Raw genomic sequence first — 24,366 nt, 5'->3', positions numbered from 1 at the left:
ACAACACAAAACAAGGTAGAAGACAAAATGTCAGATCATGTAGAGCTTTGCAGGCCACAGTATAAGGCCTTGAAAAGCTTGAGGGAAAGAGGGACATCATGAAGTATTTCTAAGTTTATGGTTTGAGTAAGTGGAGAAATGGTAGTGCTATTTATTGAAAGAAGGAAATCTGGAGGAAGTTTAAGAAAGTTAAGAGTTTAAGAAAGATAATCAGGACATCTGTTTCAGATATGTGATATTTTGAAAGCTCACTAGGCCATCAAGTGGAGCTATTGAGTGAGCAATTGGATGGATGAGTGTGGAGTTCAAGAGAATGGTCAGATCTGGAGATATTCAGTTAGAGATTGACATTTCATCATGCCAGAAGTTCAATTATCAATTCTAATGTGTATGCTCCTACTATTAGAGCTTTGAATTTAATGCAAAGACTGACGGAAGTAAAGAGAGAAATAGGATAACCCAAACCATATTCAAAATTTCAACTTTCATCTCTCAGTAACTGATAAAACAAGCAGGCAAAATAATCAGTAAGGATAAAAAAGATTTAAACAAAATAATCAGCACATGTGACAGAATATGCAACATATAGAACACTGCACCCAACAAATACAGAATAAACATTATTTTCAAGTACACATGGAACATTTACCAACATTGACCACATGCTGGGCCATAAAGGAAATCTCAATAAATTTCAAAGGAGTGACATTCTACAGAGTAGGCTCATTGACCACAGTGATATTAAGCCAGAACTCAATAACAGAAAAATAACTAAGATGTTCCCATTTGTCTAAAAATTAAGAAGCATGGTTTTGAATGTATGCTTCTACATAGAGATCAAATATAATTAGAAATTATTTGAGCTGAATGATAATTAAACTGTCATATATCAAACTTTTGGACTATAAGCAACACATAATTAAAGATAAATGTAAAATATAAAATGCAAATATCATAAAAGAATAAAAGCTGAAAAACTGGTGACCTAAGCATCCATGTCAGAAAGAAAGAAAGAAAGAGTAAAACAAGTGAAACTCACATAAAGCTTAGAGAAGGAAATGATAAAGAGACAAGTGAAAATAAGTAAATTGAAATACACGCAGGGAAGGGATTAAAAAGTTAAAAGTTTTTTTTTGAAAAGATTAACAAAATTGTTAAGACTCTGACAACAAAACAGAAGACTCGAAGGTTTGCTTTTAATAACGAAAAGAAGTGTTGATATAAATGCCAAAACACTAGATAATAAGAATATGTGATGACTTGTTATTATAACAAATTTTAAAATGTAGACTAAATTGTAAAATATCTAGAAAAAGAAAATGCTAAAGTTGATGAAAGAAAAACAATCAAGAGTCCTCTAAATGTTAAGACAGATGAGTCCTGCAATTTAAAACCTTCCAACAAAGAAAAGTTAATACTTACATGGAATGTCCTTAGAAAATTCTAGTAATATTTAGGCAAAAATAATAACAATGGTTAAAAGCTTTCTTTCTGTTATTTAGAATAAGATTTTTCCAAAAGAGACACAAGGATTACTACTGTGTTTGTTATCTGTGTCCAGAATAACCTTAATATTCCAATTTGACATGTACCTTAGGTTAATGAAAAATAAAGTACAATCTCATTCTTGAAGAAGAAAGATCCAAAAGGCCTATATTTCTGCAATATATAGCTATATTTCTGCAAATATAGCTCATAACATATATGAAAAGTATGAATCTTCACGCCCATGTTGGGTTAATTCCAGGTGGTTTAAATATTAAAAAATCAAATAATGTGATTTACCATGCTAACAGACTAAGAAATATTCTACGATCATTTCAACAGATGCAAAAATGTTGATAAAATTTAACATTTATTCATCTTTGATGTCTTAGCAAAATAGGAATAAAACAGAATCACCTTGATCTGAAAAAGAATATTTATAAAGAATTCTGTCCCAAATATCATACATAATGCATTATGGTATTATTATAAAGGCATACATATAGACCAAAGAAATGATAAACAGCCCAGATTTATTCCTACTTATAAATTGTCAGTTTCTTTAAACAAAAGAAGAATTATAGAACAGTAGGAAAAGAAAACATTTTTTAATAAAGGGTGCTGGGTCAACCGAATATGCAAATGAACAAAAACGAAATTGTACTTAGCACAAAAATAAATTTCAGGGGAGCTGCAAATCTACATATGAATTGTAAAATGGTAAGCCTTCTAGAAGATAATATATACAAATACGCTCATAACCTTGGTGTCAAAAAACCTATTTAAAATAAGACATACATATTTAGTAAAAAGGAAAATGTTGTAAAATGGCATTATATTATAATTAAACACTGTTATTTACAAAAGGCAATATTAAGAAACAAAAATAGTGAGCTACAGTGTGGGAGAATATATTTGCAGCCCATCTAACCACTGCTGAGCTCATATACAGAATGTAAAACTACTCTTAGCAAATTCATTAAAAAAAGACTGTCGAATAGAAAAATGTACAAGAGATCTGAACAAGCACGTTACCAAAGTATGTGTCCAATTGGCAAATAAATTTATTTTTAGAAGTTTAGATAGTAATCAAAGAAATGCAAATTTAAATAACAGGCAATACAACATTTCACCACCAGAATGACTAACAGAAAAAAGAGTAATGATTCTAAGTCCTGACAAATATAATGTGGAACAACAGGCACTCTTCAAACACTCTCAGTAGATATGTAAGTAGGTATAAATATTTTGAAAAACATTTTTTATTATCTATGAAAGTTGAATGTATGTAAAGTCTGTGATCCCTCACTTTCACACCTACATACATCCAAAATGAATGTCTACAGATATGTACTAACAGATGTGTGCAAGGGTGTTCATTACAGCATTATTTATAAGAACCCTAAATTGGAAATAATCCAACGTTTTTCAGAAATAGAATGGAGAGAGAGGCATGTTCATATAATGCAAGACTTTTCATCAGTAAAAATGTATAAATTACAGCTTTGTGCAATAACATGGATAACTCCCACAAACATGATGCTGATAGAAAGACGCTAAATACAAATAATTTCCTACCATATGGTTACGTTTATGCAAATTTAAAACATCAGGCAATACCAGGTAAGCTAAACTATAGCATTTAAGAATGCATGCATAGGTGGTAAAAACTACAAAGCAAAGTAAGAAAGTGCACAAGTAAAATTAAGAATAGTGATTAATTTTGAAGTGGAGAGAACTGGGAAGGGCAGAGGGAGGGCTTCTGAGAGCTGACACTGTTCTATTGTTCTATTTTCGTCCTGGGTGACAATTAATTGGTTGTTGCCTTTTTCTAAATGTGTGTAATATTTCCCAATTTTAAAAACGCGCGCGCGTGTGTGTGTGACAGAGACAGACATACAGAGAGAGAGAGAAAGAAAGAGAATGGGACATGAGAAACTGCTTATGAAGACAAATTTATAATGAATTTTATTTATAAAAAGAAAGAGAAGCCAGGTACAGTGCCTCACACCTGTAATCCTAGCACTTTGGGAGGCCAAGGTGGGAGGATTATTGAGCCCAGGAGTTCAAGACCAGCCTGCACAACATGGCAAAACCCCATCTCTATAAAAAAGTACAAAAATTAGTTGGGTGTGGTGGCATGCACCAGTGGTCTCTGTTACTTGGGAGACTGAGGTTGGAGGATAACCTGAGCCCAGAGAGGTCAAGGCTACAGTGGGCCAAGATCGGGCCACTGCACTCCAGCCTGGGTGATGGAGCAAGACCCAGTCTCAAAACAAGAAAGAAAGCAAGAAAACAAGGAAGAAATCAAGAAAGCAAGGAAGCAAGAAAAGAAAGAAAGAGAAAGAAAGGAAAGAAAGAGGAAGGAAGGAAGGAAGGAAGGGGAGCAACTGTATGGCAGATGTTAAGGAAATAAAAGCATTAATGGAAATTTTTCTTCTTTCTTTTAGATAGGAGATATTAGAGTATGTTTATATACTAATGGTAATTCTGCAAAAGAGAAAGGGATATCAATGAGGCTGAACCCAGAAAAAACTAAAAATGTTGAAATATTTGAAGATGGTGGGCGTGAGCTGCAGGCCATGAATGGAGTGATTGGCCTTTAAAAAAATCAGCTCTCCAGAGAAAGGATGCTTGAAGTAGGTCCAGATGAGCATAAGTATGAGAAGCTTTTCAGGTATGAGTATTAGAAGCTATCTCTGTCCTCTGTGAGTTATGGGTGTCAGCACGTTGTCAGGCTCATCTCAGCCTCCAGAGCCTTCTTTCTGTTCACATAGTGGACCACTGTTCATCCTACTGGAGCACCTCTGCCCATGCTGTCTGCTGCATAAAATGATTATACTCTCAGCCTCCCTCACGTGGCTAATACTATATATCCTGTAAATCTCAGTGGAATTGCCAAGTATGCAGGAAAGCACACTCTGACTCCCCAGGGCACATTCTCAGCTCTGAGGGCAACTTTCCCTCACAGCACATATCCACATTGTAATTGCATATTCATTTTATTTAGGCTGTCCTCCCACAAGACAGTTTGTGCTATGTATTCTGGGAGTATTTCTTCTTTGAACCAACCTCTGGCATAGTGCCTAGCGTCTTGTAGGTGCCATTTTTTGAATGCATGAATACATGAATAAGTGAAGGTCGTGCAGGAGTATTCTTAGAAATATTATTTGATAAATCAGAATTTGTTGGCAAGAAATGTTATTTGCAATAATGCTTCCGCTTACTGATCAAATGCTCTAATATATTTAACCCGATAAATCATAGATTCATTTAGACAGCCATTCAGTAATAAACATGTATTTAGTAACAATGTTATGCCAGGTACTGAGAAAGGCAGTGCCACGGGACAGGGAAGGGTCACAGAAGCAATTCAGGTTTATGTGAGTAGAAGAGTTGTGGAAACAGACTCTTGCACTGGAGTTGTAGAGTTTACACTTACATTCTAACTCTTTTGTTTACAAATTTATTGGCATTGGTCAAGCCTCCCAAATTCTGTAAGCTGTTATCTCCTTATTAAAAAAATGAGACTCAACCTTAATCCCTTACAATATTGCTGTGAAGACTGCATATGGTGACCTTTGTGAAGACTTGTAGGGTGCCTGGTGCAAAACTCTGTTCTGCCCTTGGTTAATATCTAAGGGAGAAGTAAGGCAGGGAGCTTGGGTCCTAAGTATACACTGATTCTGCACATGAATGAAGCTGGGGAACTGTTGCTAAAAGAGGTCTTGAGTTGATTCTCAGATCATTAGATGAATGCAGTGTCACAGCTGGAAGGAACTTAAAATTCATGTTGTCAGAATACCTTCTATATAGGTGAGGCCTCTAGGGCTCTGAGAGGGGAAGGGCTTCTGCAGGTCCAGGGCTTCATCTCAGAGCAGAGGGCCAGCTGTATCTTAGAGACGGCACACTTCTTCTTCCCTTGCCAGTGGGGATTCTCAGCTGGGGTGCTAACAGGCAAGCTATTTTGAGCCAGGAGTTGTATAAAGAAAGGCTCACAGCAGTGCCCAACCTTGGTCTTGCCATTGTGTTGGCATCCTGTGATGCCTCCCTCCTTACAAGGCACTTTGTGTCAGCAGGAATGTGAGGCAAGTTGTGAAATTCAATTAATTCTACAGCCAGCCCACGTACCTCCCTCCAGGGCTGGCCCAGCCGGGATGATGCAGCACTACCCTCTCTAAAAAATAGGCTTCCTGACCCGTCTCCTTCCCTTCCAGCAGCCCCTCCTCAGGTCCTCCCCTGCTTTCTCTCCATGTCTTCACAGAAGACAAAGCTCATCTCTATGGGGATGTGTTTCTATATTAAAATACTGTTGCATAGCTAATTTTTATTTGGAATCTCTGGAAGCTTAAATTATAGAATTGCTTTTGTTGAAGTTGGGAGGGAGTGACAAAGATACTCCGCCTTCTCTCTTGAGTACTAATGGGTAAAAACAAAAAGCACAGATACCTATCTGACTAATATGTTTCCAGGATGTGCCTGTAATCTTGAAATACAGGAGTTCTAGGTAACTGAAACCAAGATAGGGCCAACAGTTCTCTCTCCTATGAAGGGGGGTGCGAGGGGCAGAGACTTGCCCTGGTTTTAGTGCATGGATTGAGAAAGCAAAGAGTCCAACATCCTTGTAAGAGGCCTAGATATCAGGAAGTGAGAGAAGGAGAAATCTGATTCCATTTTTGAGGCAAATTAAGTGCTCATTCAAACCTAGTGAGTATCCTGGACTCTAAGTATGGAAAGAGAAAATTTGTAAGAGTGCAGAGACAAGCTGAAATTTTTCACTACAATGTTTTCTCCTCCTGAGTAGTAAAATAAAATCCTTTTTCCATGGACAAAGTGAACACACAGAAATACTGGATCTCCCCTGACACTGTCTAAAATATTTAAACTGATTTTATTAAATTTGAGAGTTAAGATCAACCAGGATTACAGTTGTCCTTTTAGAGGCTGAAAATCAATGACCTTCTGGAGCAATCCCGTCCGTTCCTTCATGAAGCCGCTCCTCATTAGAGGTGGAAAGCTCAGATATGAATCTCTCACCTCCAGGAAACTCTGAAATGGGTTAGACAGGGCCATTAATTAAATTTAATTTTAAGGTCAAATTTTCCCCTTATCAGACGGTTTATCCACGATTCTGTTTTCATTCCACATTAAGTCTATCCATATTGTTCAACAGAAAACACTGGGAAAAGTGGTATAATGAACACTGTGTGATACTAGCATTTCTGAAGCTGAGTTATCCATCTTTAGACCCTTATTTGCCCCATATTTGTGATGATCCCACAAAATCACATAAAAATCAGCGTTTGTATAACAAAAAGTGTAGAAAACACAAGAAAATCTCTAGTTTTTGATAAAAATGTTGCTTCTGGAACACAGTGCAGGTATAATCTAGATTTACATTGCTAATATCAATCAAACATCATAGTGGAGATTTCCTGCTATCTAGAGGCTCATAGAAGAGAAAAATACAAAAAAAAAAAAAAAAAAAAGATAGACTGTTCTTGGTGTTAGCACCAAAACATCAATTTATCTAGTGAGCGGATTCCAGATGTATGTGGACTATGATTTATAAACTTTCCTGCAATGGGAAAAATTTCCCAGAGTTTAATTGTGTCTTAGTTTGTTCTTCTTTTTCTACCTCTTTGAAATGGAAACTTAGTTGTTTATTTGAGATATTTTTACTCTATTAATGTAAGTGTTTATTGCTGTGAACGTCCCTCATAGTACTACTTTTGTCATATCCCATAAATTTTGATATATTGTGTTTCATTTTGATTTGTGTTGCTGTATTTTCAAATTTATTTTTTATTTCTTTCTTAACCCAATAGTTGTTCAAAAGTATACTGTCTAATTTTTACTTATTTGTGAATTTTCTAGTTTGTCTACTGTTATTGATTTCTAGTTTTATTCCATTGTGGTCAGAAAAGATACTTGATATAATTTAAATCTTCTTAAGTTAGTTAAGACTTGTTTTGTGTCTTAACACATGATCTATCCTGGAGAAAGGTCTATGTGCACCTGAGAACGATGTGTATTCTGCCACTGTTGGGTGGAATGTTCTGTATATGCCTGTTAGGTCCATTTGGTCTATAGAGTTATTCAAATCCTCTGTTTCCTTGTTGATCTTCTGTCTGGAATTTCTGTTCATTATTGAAAGTGGGGTTTTGAAGCCTCCTATTATTATATTGCTGCCTATTTCTCCTTTCAGTTCTGTCAATGTTTGCTTTACATACTTGGGTGCTCTGATGTTGGATGCATATATATTTATAATTGCCATGTTTTCCTGGTAAATTGACCCTACTATTATTATACAATGTTCTTCTTTGTCTCTTGTGACAGTTTCAAAGGTCTCTTTTGTCTGACATATGAATAGCCACCATTGTTCTTTTTGGTTATCATTCAAATGAAATATCTTTTTTTCATCTCTTCACTTTCAGCCTATATGCATCTTCAAATCAAAAGTGAATTTCTTGTAGGGCCTTGTTTGTTTGTTTCTTATCCATTCAGTCTGTCTTTTGATTGAGGAGTTTAATTCATTTACATTTAAAATAATTATTGATAAAAAATAATTTACTTTTGCCATTTTGTATGTTTTTGATTTTGCATAGAGTATTTTTTCAGGTTTATTGAGGGAAGATGGACAAAAATTATATATATTTAAGGTATAAAACATATTTTGATATATGTACATTGTGAAATAACTATCACAGTCAAGGTAATTAACATATCCATCATGTCACATAGTTACCATATTTATTTTTTCTGCTGATAATATCTGAGATCTCTACTCTTAGCAAAGCTCAAGTATATGATACATTATTGTTAGCTATAGTCACCATGCTATACATTAGATATCCAATACTTATTCATCTTATAAAAGAAAGTTTGTATCTTTTGACCAAAGGGTCAAAATCAATGGTGGCTATTCTTATACCCCCTTTTTTTCCTTCCTCCAACCTCTTTTTCTGTTCTTGATAAGAGCAATTCTAACAGGTGGGGTGATATCGCATTGTGATTTTAATTTAGATTTTCCTGATGATTAATGATGTTGAGCATCTTTTCATACACCTATTGGCCATTTGTAAGTTTCCTTTGGAAAAAAAAAGGTCTATTAAGGTTCATTAATTGTTCTTTAATCCAGTTTTATACATTTATAGATACGGAGATGTATGAGTACCTTATATATTTTGGATATTAAGCCCTTATCAAATATGGTTTACAAATATGTTATCTCATTCCAAGGGTTGGCTGTTCATTTTGTTAGTTGTTTGCTTTACTATGCAAAACCTTTTTAGTTTGATGTAGCCCCACTTGTTCACTTATGCTTCTGCTGTCTGTGCTTTTGGAATCAAATTTAAAAAACTATTGTCAAGACCAACGTAAAGGAGTTTTCTCCTAAGAGTTTTACAGTTTCAAGTCTTTCATTTAAGTCTTTAATCAATTTTGAGTAATTTTTTATGTATATTGTAAAGTAGGGTCTAATTTTATTCTTTTGTATGTGGATATCCAGTTTTTCCAATATTATTGATTGAAGATTATCCTTTCTCCATTGTGTATGCTTGGCACCTTTGTTAAAAATTAATTGACTATGTATGTCAAGAGGATTCTATTCCATTGCTCTATGTGTCTGTTTTTGTGCCAGAACCATAGTGTTTTGATTACTATAGCTATGTATCATATTTTGAAATCAGGACATGTAATGCCTCCTGCTCCATTCTTCTTGCTCAAGATTGCTTTAGCTATTTGGGATCTTTAGTGGTTCCAGGTGAATTTTAGGATTGTTTTTCTATTTATATGAAAAATGCCATTGTAATTTGACATGGATTTCATTGACTCTGTAGATTGCTTTGGTGGTAATAACTTTTAGGAATATTAATTCTTCTTAATTCATAAGCACAAAATAACTTTTCATTCATTTGTGCCTTCAATTTTTTTCAATAATGTTTCATATTTTTCAGTGTAAGATCTTTCACCTCCTAAGTTAGATTTATTCCTAAGTATTTTATGCTTTTTGATGTAATTGTAAACGTGACTGTTTTCTTAATTTTTTGGTGGGGGGAGTAGTTTGTTTTTAGTATGTATAAATACAACTATTTTTGCTGGTTGATTTGTTATCATGCAAGCTTACTGAATCCATGTGTTAGTTTTTACAGTTTTTTAAAAAATGGAATCTGGAGTTTTCTGTACATATGATAATGTCATTTGCTAACAAGGGCAATTTTATTTCTTCCTTTCTTATTTGGATGCCTTTTATTTCTTTTTTGCCCCATTACCCTAGTTAGGACTTCCAGTGCTATGTTGAATAGATGTGGTGAAAGTAGACACCCTTGTTTTGTTCTTGATCTTACATGAAAATCTTTCAGCTTGTCACCATTGAATATGGTAACTGCGTGGAGTGTCACATATGGCCTTTACTATGTTGAAGTTGAGGTAATTTACTTCTATACTTAATTTGTTGAGAGCTTTTATCGTGAAAGGATGTTGAATTTGTCAAATGTTTTTTCTGCATCTATTGAGATTATTATATTTATTTTTTCCTTCATTTTGTTAATACAATGTATCAAGATTAGTGATTTGCATATATTGAACCATTATTACATCCCAGAGAGAAATCCCACTTGATCATGGTGTAAGATCCTTTTAATATACCTTGAATTCAGTTACTAGTATTTTGTTGAGGATTTTTTGCATTTATGCTCATTAAGAATATCGGCCTATAATTTTCTTCTCTTATAGTATTCTTGTCTGGCTTTGGTATTACTGTAATGCTGGCCTAATGAAATAAAATTTGAAGTGTTCCCTCCTCTTCAGTTTTTTGGAGAAGTTTGGAAAGGATTGGTGTTAATTTTTCTTTAAATGTTTGGTAAAATTTACTAGCGAAGGCATCTAGTCCTGAATTTTTCTTTGTTGGGAGATTTTTCATTACTTATTCAATCTTTTTACTCATTATTAATCTCTTCAGACATCTATGCCTTCATGATTTAAACTTGGGTTGCATGTATGTAGGAAATTATACATTTCTTTTCAGGTTATTCAATTTGTTGACTTATAATTACTCATAAGTAGTCTCTTAGGATCCTTTGTATTTCTGTGGCATCAATTGTAATATCTCCTCTTTCATTCCTGATTTTGTTTATTTGAATGTTTTATATCTTTTTTTCTATTTAGCTAAGAGTTGATCAGTTTTGTTTACATTTTCAAAAAACCAGCTCTTCTTTTTACATATTTTTTTCTGTTGTTTTTCTAGTCTCTCTTTCATTTATTTCTTCTATGATTGTTATTTCCTTCCTTTTACTAATTTTGGGCTTAGTGTGTTCTATTTCTACTTTTTTGAAGTTAAATTTAGCTTGTGTATTTGACATCTTACTTTTTTATAATGTAGACATTCGTTATTATACACTTTCCTTTGAAAATGGCTTTTGTTAAAACAAATAGCCCTATTAAAATTTAGGCAAACTATATGAACAGATATTTCTTGAAAGAAGATATAGAAGTGGCAAACAAAGATATGAAAAAAATGTTCATCGTCACTAATTATCAGATAAATGCAAATCAAAACCATAATGAGATAATATCTTACACAAATCAGAATGGCTTTTGTTACAAAGTAAAAAAAATAACAGATGTTAATGAGGTTATGGAGTAAAGGAGACACTTACACGCTGTTAGTGGAAATGTAAATTAATCTGGCTATTGTGGAGAACAGTTTGAAGATTTCTCACAGAACTAAGAGTTGAACTACGATCTGATCCAGCAATCCCATTACGGGGTATAAATTCAAAGAAAAATAAATTGTTTTACCTAAAGGACACATGCACCTTTGTGTTTATTACAGCACTATTCACAATGGCTAAAACATGGAATCAACCCAGGTGCCTATCAATAGTGGACTGGATAGGCCGGGCGCAGTGGCTCAAGTCTGTAATCCCAGCACTTTGGGAGGCTGACGCGGGCGGATCACGAGGTCAGGAGATCGAGACCATCCTGGCTAACACGGTGAAACCCCGTCTCTACTAAAAATACAAAAAATTAGCCAGGCGCAGTGGCAGGCGCCTGTAGTCCCAGCTACTCAGGAGGCTGAGGCGGGAGAATGGCTGAACCTGGGAGGCGGAGCTTGCAGTGAGCAGAGATAGCGCCACTGCACTCACTCCAGCCTGGGCGACAGAGCGGGACTCCGTCTCAAAAAAATAAAAAATAAAAAATGGACTGGATAAAGAAAATGCTGTATATATACGCCAGGGAATACTATGCAGCCATAAAAAAGAACAAAACCTTGTCCTTTGCAGCAACATGGATGTAGCTGGAAGTCATTATTCTAAGTGAACTAACATAGAAACAGAAAACCAAATACCACATGCTCTCACTTATAGGTGGGAGCTAAACTTTGGGTACACATGGACATAATGATGTGAACAATAGAAGGGCCTGCTAGAGGTGGAGACAGGGAAGGGAGCAAAAGGTGAAAAACGACTTCTTGGGTACTATGCTTACTACCTGGGTGATGGATTCAATCATACTCTGAGCCTCAGCATCATGAATTATACCTTTGTAACAAATCTGCACGTGTACCCTGATTCTAAAATAAAAGTTGAAAAAAAACCTGCTTTTGCTGTATATCTCATATATTTTGTTTCCATTTTTATTTGTCTCAAGATATTTTCTTATTTTGCTTTTAATTTCTTATTTGAGTTATTTGTTGTTCAGCAGGGTGTTGTTTAATTTCCACATATTTGTAATTTTTCTGGCTTTGTCCTTGCTGTCATTTATTTCTAGTTTCATACCATTGTGCTCAGAAAAAATGCTTCATATGATTTCAATCTTCTTAAATTTGTTAAGACTTGTTTTCTGACCTAACATATGATCTATCCTGGAAAATGTTTCACGTATGCTTGAAAAGAATGTTTACTCTGCTGCTATTGAAAGAAATTTTCTGTATAGAGTTAAGTCCTCATTCCAAGTTATCGATAGGTTCTTGGAAACTGATTTTAAGTAAAACAGTGGATTGTATAATGAAATCAATTTTACCCTAAGCTAATTAATATTAAAAAAGTCAAGTTCCTATAGCATACTGCATGTAATTTTACTTAAAGTTGATGTGGAGTGAAGACTTATTTTATGTCTGTCAGGTGTATTTGTTCTAAGGTATATTACAAGTCCATTGTTTCTTTATTTTCTATCTGTATAATATTTCCATTATTTAAAGTGAGGCATTGAAGTCATCTACTATTACTCTATTGCTATCTATTTCTCCCTTCAGATCTGTTAATATTTGCTTTATATGTTTAGATTCTCCAAAGTTGGTTGCAGATAGATAGATAGATAGATAGATAGATAGATAGATAAATATAGATGATAGATAGACAGACAAATGTTTGTATAAACATTTGATGAATTGACCTCTTTACCAACATATAATAACATTCTTTTCTTTTGTCACAATTTTTAACAAACAGATTATTTTATCTAAGTATGGCTGCCCCTCTTCTATTTTGGTTTTCATTTGCATGGGACATCTTTTTTCATCTATTTACTTTTAGTTTATGCATGTCCTTAGTGAAGTAAGTCTTTTGTAGGCAGCATATAGTTGGGTCTTGTTTATTAATTTATTTATCCATTCTATACCTTTTGATTAAGTAGTTCAAACCATTAACATTTAAAGTAATTATCAATAGAGAAGAATTTACCATTGTCATTTTGTTAGCTGTTTTCCATTAGTCAAATAGTTCTTTTGCCTGCCTTTTCCTCTCACTGTCATCTTTGTGTTTTGTTCATTTACATATTGTTATACTTTGATTCTTTTCTCTTTTTCTTGTGTGTAACATCTATAGGTATTTTTGTGTGTGCAGTTACTTTGGGGATTATATAAAATGGCATATTTGTAACAGACTGTTTGAAGCTGACAACAACTTAAATTCAGTCACATGCAAAGACTACACTTTAACTTCTCTTCTTCTCACTGTTTATGTTATTATTGTTATAATTTACATCTACTTATATTGTGTGTCTTTTAACATATTTATAGTTATGCTTATTTGTAATACTTTTGTCTTTTAACTTTAATAATATAATTAAAAGTTATTTAACCACCACCATTATAGTAGAAAGTATTCCATGTTTGTTAATATATTCACTATTAATGAGTTTCATACTTCTTATGCTATTATAAGAAATAACAAAATTTACAGTAAAAATAAATAAAATAGAAAATAGAAAAGAAAACCATAGATGTGAACAAATAAAAATGTCTAAAAAAGAAAAACAATTTAAAAGTAAATGAAACTAAGAGTTTTTTTAAAGACAAAATTGACAAACTATTAGGTAGACTAACTAAGATAACAGAATAAAAGATAAAAGTCACATGATTATATCAATAAATGCAGAAAAATGTATTTTGTCATTTGACAAAATTTAATATCCTTTCATTATTAAAAAAACTTGTAATAATTAGGCATAGAAGGAAAAACCTTAAAGTAATGAAGGTCATATATGAAGAGTTCACAATTAATATAATGCTCAACAGTGAAAGACTAAAAGCCTTTGCTCCAAAATCAGCCACAAGGAGAGGATATTCACTCTTGCCATATCAATTCAACATAGTACTGGAAGTCTTTGCCAGGGCAATTAGACAAGAAAAAATTTAAGAGACATTCTAATTGAAAAGGAAGAAGTGAAATTGTCCATACTTGCAGATAATTTTATATGTATATATAGTATATATATATATATATGTGTGTATATATATAATATATATATACTATATATATATATATATTCCACAAAAAATGTCAGAGCTTATGAAGAATTCGATAAAGTTGCGGAATACAAAATCAACAAACAACTTTTTGTGTGTCTTTATACACTAACAATGAACTATCTGAAAAGGAAATTAAGAAAAAGTCCTATTACAATAGCTTCAAAAGAATTAAATGCCTAGGAATAAAGTTTTATGAACTAAAAGACTTAATATTGTAAAAATATTCATATTCACTAAAGCAATCTACAGATTTAATGCAATTGCTATCAGAATCCCAGTGACTGTTTTATAGACATTTAAAAAAGTTTTACAATTAATATGGCATCCTTAAAGAGCATAAATAGCCAATGAATCTTGAGAAATACCAAAGTAGAAGACAACACATGGCCTGATTTTAAAAAATAAACTACAAAGCAACAGTAACCAAAGCGTATGCTACTGGCATAAGCACAGACATATAAAACAAAGAATAAAATAGAGGCCCCAGATATAAATCCATGCATACAATCGACTGATCTTTGACAAGGCTGCCAAGAATATACAATGGAGAAAGGACAGTCTCTTCAACAAAAGACACTGGGAAAACTGGATTTCCACATGCAAAAGAATGGAATTGAATCTTATTTTACATCATACACACAAGAAAATCAATTCAAAATGGATTAAAAACTCAAACATAACACCTGAAACTATAATGATACTATAAGAAAGTATAGGGAAAAAACTTCATGTCATTGGTCTCAGCAATTATTTCACGAATAATACAATAAAAGACAAAGAACAAAACCAAAAATAAATAAGTGGGGCTATGTCAAACTAAAAAGCTTCCCTAGAGAAAATAAATCAATAAATGGAATGAAAAGAACACCCACAGAATGGGAAAAAATTGCAAATCATATTTCCGATAATGATTTATTATCCAAAATATATAAGAAACTCCTGGAACTCAATAGTAAAGTAACAGGTATAACCAGGTTAAACAATGGGCTATGAACTTACCCCAAGAAGATATACAACTGCCCAACAGATATATGAAGGATGCTCAACATCACTAATTATCAGGAAAATGCAAATCCAAGCTGCAATGAGGTATCACCTCATAACTGTCAGGATAGCTATTATCAAAGAATGGCTATTATTAAAAAGACAAAAAACAATAGATGCCGGTAAGGACACAGAGAATCGGAAACACTTGCACACAATTGGCGGGAATGTAAATTAGTACAGCTACTACATAAAACAGTATGGAGGTTTATGGAAAAACTAAAAAATAGAACTACTATATAATACAACAGTTTCATTTCTGGGTATCTGTCCAAATAATTGAAATTAGTGTCTTGAAGAGATATTAGCACTCATATTTATTGCATATTTATTTACAATGAAGTTGTGAAACTTTATTGTCTGTTGACAAATAAGTGAGTAAAGAAAATGTGTTATATACATAAAATACAGTACCATTCAGCCTTTAAAAAAGGAAATTCTGCAATATGCAACAACATGGATGAACTTTGAGAACATAATGATAAGTGAAATAAGTCAGCCACAGAAAGACATATATTGTGTGATTACCCTACTCTGAGGTATCTAAAATAGTCAAATTAATAGAATCAGGGAGTGGTGGTCATTGCCAGGAACTGGGGGAAGAGTTAATAGGGAGTTTCTAATCAATGGGTATAAAGTTTTAGTTAAGCAAGATAAATAAGCTCTGGAGAGCTGCTGCACAACATTGTCCCTATAGTAAAAAATAATTCATTAGACACTTAAAATATTGTTAACCAGATAGATCTCATGTTAACTGTCCTTACCAAAATATGCTTTTTTGAGTTTAATTTTATAATTGTGAATGAGCATTTTCTTGGCATGAAAAAAGTTAATTCATACTTTTCTTTAAAAGTATACATTCAATATAGTGTAATTTTTGAAATATTTAGAAACTTGTTATGGTGACACCCTAAATTATTAGGTATAATTGGACACTTACTTCTCCTCACATTCACTTAAAATACCTTTATTTCTGTTTTCCTTTTATTCCTAGTTTCTGAATGGGGACTCTGTCATGTGGCCCCATTTTTCTGTGTAACAAGGTAATCTAATCTTTTTTTTTTGGCAAGAAACTCTCTGGATAAGTTTCATTTCCTTATATTTCACATGTCCCAAATTTTCACTCTCATTTCTATAATTACTCCAATACAATCTTAGAGAATTCATCTTTTTAGTTCTACATGAATTCATAAACTTCTGAGTTCTTCTTTGTGAAACTCAGTTTGAGAAATACTAATTAACCTAAATAATGGCCATAAATTCCCACTTTGGCACACAGTGGCTGCCATGTGTGTCATATGCACACCTCATCTAAGAAAGGAGAAGGCACCTCCCAGGTAAATGAGAAAAACTCATTCATTGACAAGTATTTATGAATGCCTTTCATAAATGCCTTTATGATCCCTTCAACAGGCATCTTTGAAGTGTCAATTCTGTTCCAGATGCTTGAGATATATCAAATAAGAACAGCCAAAATATCCTGCCCTCCTGGAGGTTACATTCCAATGAGGGGAAGACAGAAAATAACCAAGTAAAACAATCAAGTAAATGCCTGTTGTATGTTAAAGTATGCATATTATAAGGAAAAATGAAGGAGGTTAGAAATTGCTGAGTAGTTGTAGATTTCCATGTAAATGTAGATTTCCATGTAAATGTAGTCATCATACTCTGGCAGATAGTCAGGGAAAGTATTACTCAGACAGTGACATTTGAGAACAAATGTAGGTAATATCAGGAGAGAAGGCTCAGACCCTCAGACGCACTCACACACAGACACTATAAGCAGGTAGAAGAGAAAGCAAAGGCCAGAAGCTGACTTATTACAACTTGGCATTGGGCAGTTGCAAAAGTTACCCAAAAGGCTACAATTAGGTGGCAAAAATAAATAACATTGTCAGAATCAGCCCAACTACAAAGTAAGAATAAATAACGGAGTGGAGAAAGGGGACTATGGTGAATAAGAAAGCTATCAGTGAGTATATATTAGATATTTATTATGCTCAGAACTGTGCTACATACTTCACAAAGATATCTCATTTCATGCACTAATAACTTTTGGAGATGAATAGGTTTAGCCCCCTTTGTCAGTTTAGAAAAATGAGACACAGAATGGTTAAGTGACTTGCCCATTTTCCCCATAATGTCCTTTGTATAGTTATTTTCTCAGTTTAGTAATCCAATATTAAAAGCATTGCATTTAATTGTCATGAATCTTCAGTCTCCTTTAATATGAATATTCTAACACTGCAGGCACAGTGTTAGAATGTCCATCAATTTGTGTTTGTCTGATGTCTTCTCATTTTATTTATTTATGCTTTTATTATTACTTGTCACTTGTGGAACAGGAGCAATATTGTATACTTCTCAATGCATTTATATCAAATATCATATGATTCTAGATTACCCAATATTAGTTATATTAACTTTAATCACTTGTTTAACATGGTAATTCACCAGGTTTCTCAATTGTGAAATTATTATTTTTTTCCCTTTTGTAAAAAAATAAATTGTGGGAAGAAACTTTGAGACTATGTAAGTATCCTTTTCCCCATGAAATATTCATTCACTAGTTGTAGTACAAGTGGGGATTTTCTAACTTTATTATTACTTCTGTATTTAGCATCATGCTAAGGGTTTTCCTTCTCCTGCATTAGACCAGATGAATCACTTTTCTTATGTGTGTGTATGTGTGCACACTCATGCACATATGTGCACGTGTATATGTATGGATGCATAATTGTTATCAAGTTGGTAGCCTGTATACTCCGGCAGATAGTGCTTTTGTCTGCGTCTTGAGTGGCTTTGAATGTCTGTTTAGATTTGAGGTTTTCCGGTTTAACGGATTTGGAAGTCTTGATTTCACAGTATTATGATGAGCTCATTCACTGGGATCTGATGTAGAAAATTTTTCTCCACTTGGACAAGGATGTGATCAATATCTGAAATCCCACAAGTCTATTACCTCTTGTTTGAGTCCTCCTTTCTTTGAATTCACACAGAATCTGCAGCACTGCATCTGTTGAATGAATAAGATCTGGGTTGCCATGCTCAGAATGGCAGCTTGGAGGATAATCCCTGGCCCCAGCAAGCCTCAGCTACCTGCAAGCCTGGTGTATGTTTTCCACCACCAAACTTAGCTGATCACCCAATGACAAAGACAAAGAATGACCAGACCAGTCAACAAGCAGCCTCGAAATGGAGTAGAGACTTACCTTTTTAAAATTTTGATCTGTAGCCCAGAGAGAATCTAAGATAAAATTTATTATAAATATAAATATATCACGGTGAACCTGGCAGCATAAAGATTGTGCATTGTGCAAAGATGCTCAACATGATGCCTTGTCTAGTGGCATCACCAAGCCTCTGATAGCTCACTGGGTTATAATCCATCATGGTGGTAAACAGCTCTATCCAGATTCTTTTGTGAAATCCTAGAACTAGCCAAAATTTTCTGCCTCATATTCTTGCAACTTTTTATTCTATAATAAAATGCACATCTTCTCTTAACTCCATATTGTTTTAGAGTTTCTGCTTCCAAAATCCACCTTCACACTGTTGCGCTTCCTCTAGCACTGGAGCCTTTAAGGTCTTGCTATATGTTAAACCAGCACATGCCCATCATCAAAGTCCTCACTGAGTCTTGCCTCTATGTGATAAAACTAACGTTCCACATACCCTGCTGATGATGATTTATGGCAGTCTTCATCAGCAGATGCTCATTCCGAGGTAGGAAGCCCTCACTGCCCATTCCAAATTATTTCTCTGAACCCAAATAAACCATACCCCTCATCTTAGGTAGTAATTAAGTGTGCAAAACCACCAGGGGTTGGATGGCCTGAATAAAATGCTGCTATACCACTTACTGAACAGTTATTTGACTCATTCTTATAGTGCTCACCAGTAAATTGAAGTAAATAATGGTAGATATGCATATACCCATATAGATATTTCAAAAATTAAATTAACATATATATCCATACCTGGCTCTTAGAAGACACTTAATAAATATTAGCAACTATAATGGTTATCAAAGCTGATGACATCCAACCATAAAACTTTCTAATTCTCCCTTTCTACTATTCGTTTGGTCACATATTACAATTCAAGCAATTTGGGCACCTAGTCTAGCCTTCTACCCTACCCTAAGACCTGATTTTACTTTAGGTCACATGCAGAAATATCCATCCAACTTCCTGACACCTAGGATCTTTCTACTTCTGGAACTTACTACGCTCTGAACATGAAGTTCTATGTCTTCTGCCATCTAGATGCCTCACCTCATCTTTCAGTTTAATAAGGCAGAAGACCCTCAATTTTCCATGCTGTTCTATCTATCGATGTCTTCTCAGGTTCACTTCTTTTTCTATATTCTCACCAATAGCCTCATCTCCTTCTCTCTCTTCCCCTCCCTAATACCATGAGCTTGGGTAAATACAAATATATGCCTTCCTTTTCTCTTGCATTGTGACTGCTTGGTATATCTAGAGAACATAAGACAAACCTAGAAATGGGTGCTACTTTAGATTCATGGTCTCCAACACCTGTTGGGGGATTAATACATCCTGGTAACCTTTCTATATCCTCCTGCCCTACCTGATTTTTATTTATCCTTCTACCCTCATTGAAGGACATAGAATCCATAGGAGAGATTTTTCCTAATCCCAAGCTAGTTAGATGTTTCTCCTTTGTACTTCTATAGCATAGTAGCTTATCATTCTCAAACCTCACATTAAACTGGGTGGTAGTTTATTCTTTAATTATCTCTATCTACCACTAGACTATGAATTTCTTAAGAAAAGTGTACCGGGTTGAATGGTGTGACACATGTCCACCCAGAACCTCTGAATGTGATCTTATTTTGAAAAGGATTTTTGCAGATATAATTAGCTAGCAACTCTCAGGAGCTACATGAGAGACATGAAAGAGGTGCTCTCTCAGGGCTTTCAGAAAGAACTAACCTGCTGACACCTTGATTTTGAATTTCTGGCCTCCAGAACTGTGAGTCACAAATTTCTGTTGCTTTAAGCCATCTGGTTTGTGGTACTTTTTTTTTTTTAATAGTAGCCTAGAAAACAAATACAAACAAGGTCAGAAACTTTTATATCTGCATTCAGCTTGTAACTCAGGGCAGGGCACAAGGTAAGTTCTCAGGAAATTATTGTGGAATGCATGGTCAAAGCAAGATGGAGATATTGCATGTAAGCTTGGTACTAGGACAATGGTTGATTATTGGAGGAAAGGGGAAATTTTTAGTCTAGTTTGCTGAGTGTAATGGAGATTGAGCCCAAAAGATTAGATTCGATGAAGTACATGGTAGCCCCATTTATGGCCTAATGAGAGCCTTCTTCACAAGGAAGACTCTACAGGATAGGAGGATGTTTTCCCTACTTTGGTGTCATGGAGAGAGTTGGGTGGATGCACAAATGTGGAAAAAAAAGAGTTGTAGCATCATATCTGGAACTGAGAGGTAATATGACCAATGTCTGTGGTTGGGGGAAGATCACAGAGTCATAGTATCAAGCCAAGCAGTAGGAGAAGTAGGTGGTTCATTCCCAATACGGAGTGCGGATCTAGCATAAGGAGGAGAAGAGGAGAAGGATGCCAATTAGCTATCAGGTAAATATATTGAACACAGATAAAACAAGCATGGCAGAAACATGTGGGAAGAGAGGAGAAAGAATTTGTTATTGTATTTCTCATAATTCGTTTTTTGGAGGAAACAATCTCTGCTTCATTCAGACTTTATCTTCATGAAATTACGTGTCATTTATGATTCAATTACCTTTATCCAGAGGCCCCTAGGATTTGGAATGTGGATGAGATTTCACTTTTTGGCACCCAGGAAAACTTAAGCTCTTTAAGTTACATGGAAATTTGGCTAAAAACACTAAGCCAAAATTTTGCCTACAAGCCAAGCACTGTCATCCTATTCTGTGTTTGTTTCACCAGTAAATGTTATTAGAGGGAAGCATTTGTTTGAAATTTCTGGCGAGTCATTTTTCTGCTCCTTTTGGTTGCTTTGTATTTTTGCAAATCATCTCTGGGCTAGAAGCCATTCTTGCTTCCTTTTTGCTAGAACTCTAAATCCAAACAAAGATGCTGTTTGGCATGATCACACATAAAGCCATCTCAGTAATTAGTACAGCCAATGGATTCAAGCCAAACAAGAGAACTACTGGACTGTAATCTGGTGGACATGTTGAAGATGACACCATCCATAAATCTATTGTGTTCTACCTTAGGGACCAGTGGCAAGAGAAACCCGTCCGAGTTTCCCTTTGAGGCTCTGGAAATCTAATCTGGAAATTTTGATTTATCGCAACACCACCTAATCTGTTGATGAATTGCATTCAGAAATGTCCTTACTGCTGATGTGCTATGTTTGGCAAATTGAGCAAAGAGAAAGTCAGGACTTAAGATTGGTTTGCCACAAGACAGGCTGAAATATGAAAGGAATTAGATACAGTATGAATGGAAATAAGGATAGGGATACAGAGAAGGGAAGGTAGGTAGTGGAATTCAAGTTGCTCAGAACAAGGGACTTGGGGACATCAATGAAAATGGAAGGAAAATTGTGGATAACAGAATTCTAGTGAAGTTGTAATAATTCACTACTACTTAGATTGCAAAAATAAGATTAAAAAAGATATAATTATGTTCTTATTAGGTCTACACTGCTGTAAGTACATATATTGACTCATTTGATTGCCATGACAAGGCTATGACTATCATTTTCATTTACAGATGAAGAAATTAAAGCAAGGTCAGGCAGCTACAGAATAGCAATTCTGGAACCACAGACCTCATATGGCTCCAGAATCCATTCTCTTAACCTCCAAGTTATATTATTCCTCATAATGTGTATTTATTTATATTTGTTTAGTGGGCATTAGAGATAACATGGTGATCCATTTTTGGCACCCTGTGATTGCTAGCTCTAGGTCAGGAATTAGGCATAAATGGGTCAGGGTTAAGGAAGGTGATAGGCTGACCATATAATTTATGGAATTAAAATTATATCATTTTGAAATATTTATCGATTGATTAATAAATTGAATTTATTGTATTGGTAGATGTGTAAAATGAGTCTTTATAATGATTTTCTGTAACTTTTTCTAAAACTTAATAATGTGTTTTTGTATACATTAAAGCAACATAAAATAAACTTTTTATTGATTATCTAAAATTACAAGAAACAAAAAAATTTTATTCTTGACAAATACTCTTGTATCCTCATGAATTTTGTAGCTTACCTGTGTCATAGGTATTTTTCAGAAGATTTTATTTTTAATATGTACTTATTAAATATTTTAATAATAAAATGTCTAGAAAGTTTTCAAAGTTGCCTTTTATAAGTAAAACATTTCAAACTGTTGACATTTTCAATTAATCTTTCTTTATAGACCATAATTTTTTTAAATGAAAAAGTACTCTCTCTTTACAAGTGGTGAGAAACTTTATAATTTCAGAGAAAATACTGCTAAATGGAGGTTAGTCATAATTCTATTTTTGTATCAAATTTGGTATCTATTTTAGATAATATATTTTCAAAGGACTGTTATTTGGCCTCTGTCAAGTGTACTTTTCTTTGAAAAATAGTTTTGTAACCAAAATCTCATCAAATAGGTTATTTGCAATTATAATTCTTTTGACTGTTTTATCAAATTCAGATGCTGTAAAGCCAGAGGTCATCTCGATTTCATTCTGCTCTGTTGCTGAATATCAACCTATTGAAATAAAAATAGAATCTTTACTAAAAAAATTATCCCCACAACTGAGATATTTGAAAGCATAATTATAGAATTTTTAAAAATCTTGAACACTATTTGAATTCTTCTTGCTTAATTTTTTGTTTCATTTTTTCTTTTGAAGAATTAAATTTAAATGTCTTTCTGTTTGTAAGCTTTGCTTTCAAAAGTTTCAAATTTTTGAAAGTGCAAAAGTTGATTCTTTTGCCCTCTATTTATTGAATATGCTGCCTAATGATTTACAGCTGATTTTTAATAAAACGCATGAAAGATTTAGAAAACTTATCTGAACAATGTCCAATACCTTTGTAGGACATTTAAGTTGTTTTACAAAGTACTTCTTCAAAGGCTTATACATTTCTAAAATTTGACTGATATCAAGCAACACAGAGTGAAAGAATGTGCTGCCATAGCTGAATTTTTGTAGTCAGTATTTTTGTCAGGCTAATTGTCATTCAGTTTCTCTGTATATATGCACATATCGATATATTTTGGCTATGCTTTGTATTTGCATCTTTAGAATACTGATGCTTGTTTGAGAGCAATTAGAAATTATGTGTGTACTATAAACAATTCCAAGTACATTTTTATTACATAGGTCCATTAATTTAGTAAAATTGTTCTTTTTGCAAAAGAATATAAGGCTGTGCTTCACTAAAATTTTCATTTGTATTTTTACTGCCCAACAAATTAATTCTCAAAATTGAATTTTTTAGCTGAACTTAAAATTGTATTTACAATAACATCATATGTTTCTCCTTCAATAAAAGGAACTTATAACCACTTTATTTAGATTCTCTAAGTGGACTAAAATCTGACCTGTTATTGGAGTTACCTCAATTTTTTGTTTGAAGCATCTGATAGAACTTATAAAAGTCTCACTTCATTTAACTATTTGTAAAATCTTCCTTCTGATATTTAAATCAACTTGTTAACAACTTTTCCTCACTCTTCATATATTCAGAAGAAATGTTGAAATCAAATATAAGTGAAATTAGAAAAGCAGTCATTTGGACGGGCGTGGTGGCTCACGCCTATAATCCGAGCACTTTGGGAGGCCGAGGTGGGTGGATCACGAGGTCAGGAGAACGAGACCATCCTCATCCTGGCTAACACAGTGAAACCCCATCTCTACTAAAAATACAAAAAAAATTAGCTGGGTGTGGTAGCGGGTGCCGGCAGTCCCAGCTACTCGGGAGGCTGAGGCTGGAGAATGGTGTGAACCCGGGAGGCGGAGCTTGCTGTGAGCCGAGATTGCGCCACTGCACTCCAGCCTGGGCGACAAAGCAAGACTCTGTCTCAAAAAAAAAAAAAAAAGAAGAAAAGCAGTCATTT

The 24,366-nt window shown here is 34.1% G+C and overlaps 1 long non-coding RNA gene across 1 annotated transcript in view, besides 1 other annotated feature; it reads right to left on the bottom strand.

Moving 5' to 3' along the window:
• Nucleotides 4,974-5,783: an enhancer, noted in NCBI's record as "OCT4-NANOG hESC enhancer chr10:87252333-87253142 (GRCh37/hg19 assembly coordinates)". NCBI's record gives its function as "activates a minimal SCP1, AML or CMV promoter by ChIP-STARR-seq in naive H9 embryonic stem cells {active_cell/tissue: H9 hESC(naive)}" and the evidence as "EXISTENCE:reporter gene assay evidence [ECO:0000049][PMID:30033119]".
• LINC01520 (long intergenic non-protein coding RNA 1520) overlaps nt 6,358-24,366 on the bottom strand; it is a 42,410-nt gene continuing 24,401 nt past the window's right edge. Inside the window, exons 5-6 of the long non-coding RNA NR_120671.1 lie at nt 20,242-20,348; nt 6,358-6,534 (exon numbers count right to left, since the gene is read on the bottom strand). This is a non-coding gene — a long non-coding RNA (long intergenic non-protein coding RNA 1520). The remainder of the gene's footprint in view (nt 6,535-20,241; nt 20,349-24,366) is intronic.

Source organism: Homo sapiens, chromosome 10 (assembly GCF_000001405.40).
Source record: "Homo sapiens chromosome 10, GRCh38.p14 Primary Assembly".
In the NCBI taxonomy this organism is placed as follows: Eukaryota; Metazoa; Chordata; class Mammalia; order Primates; family Hominidae; genus Homo; species Homo sapiens.
This window is presented reverse-complemented; position numbering and strand designations above follow the sequence as displayed.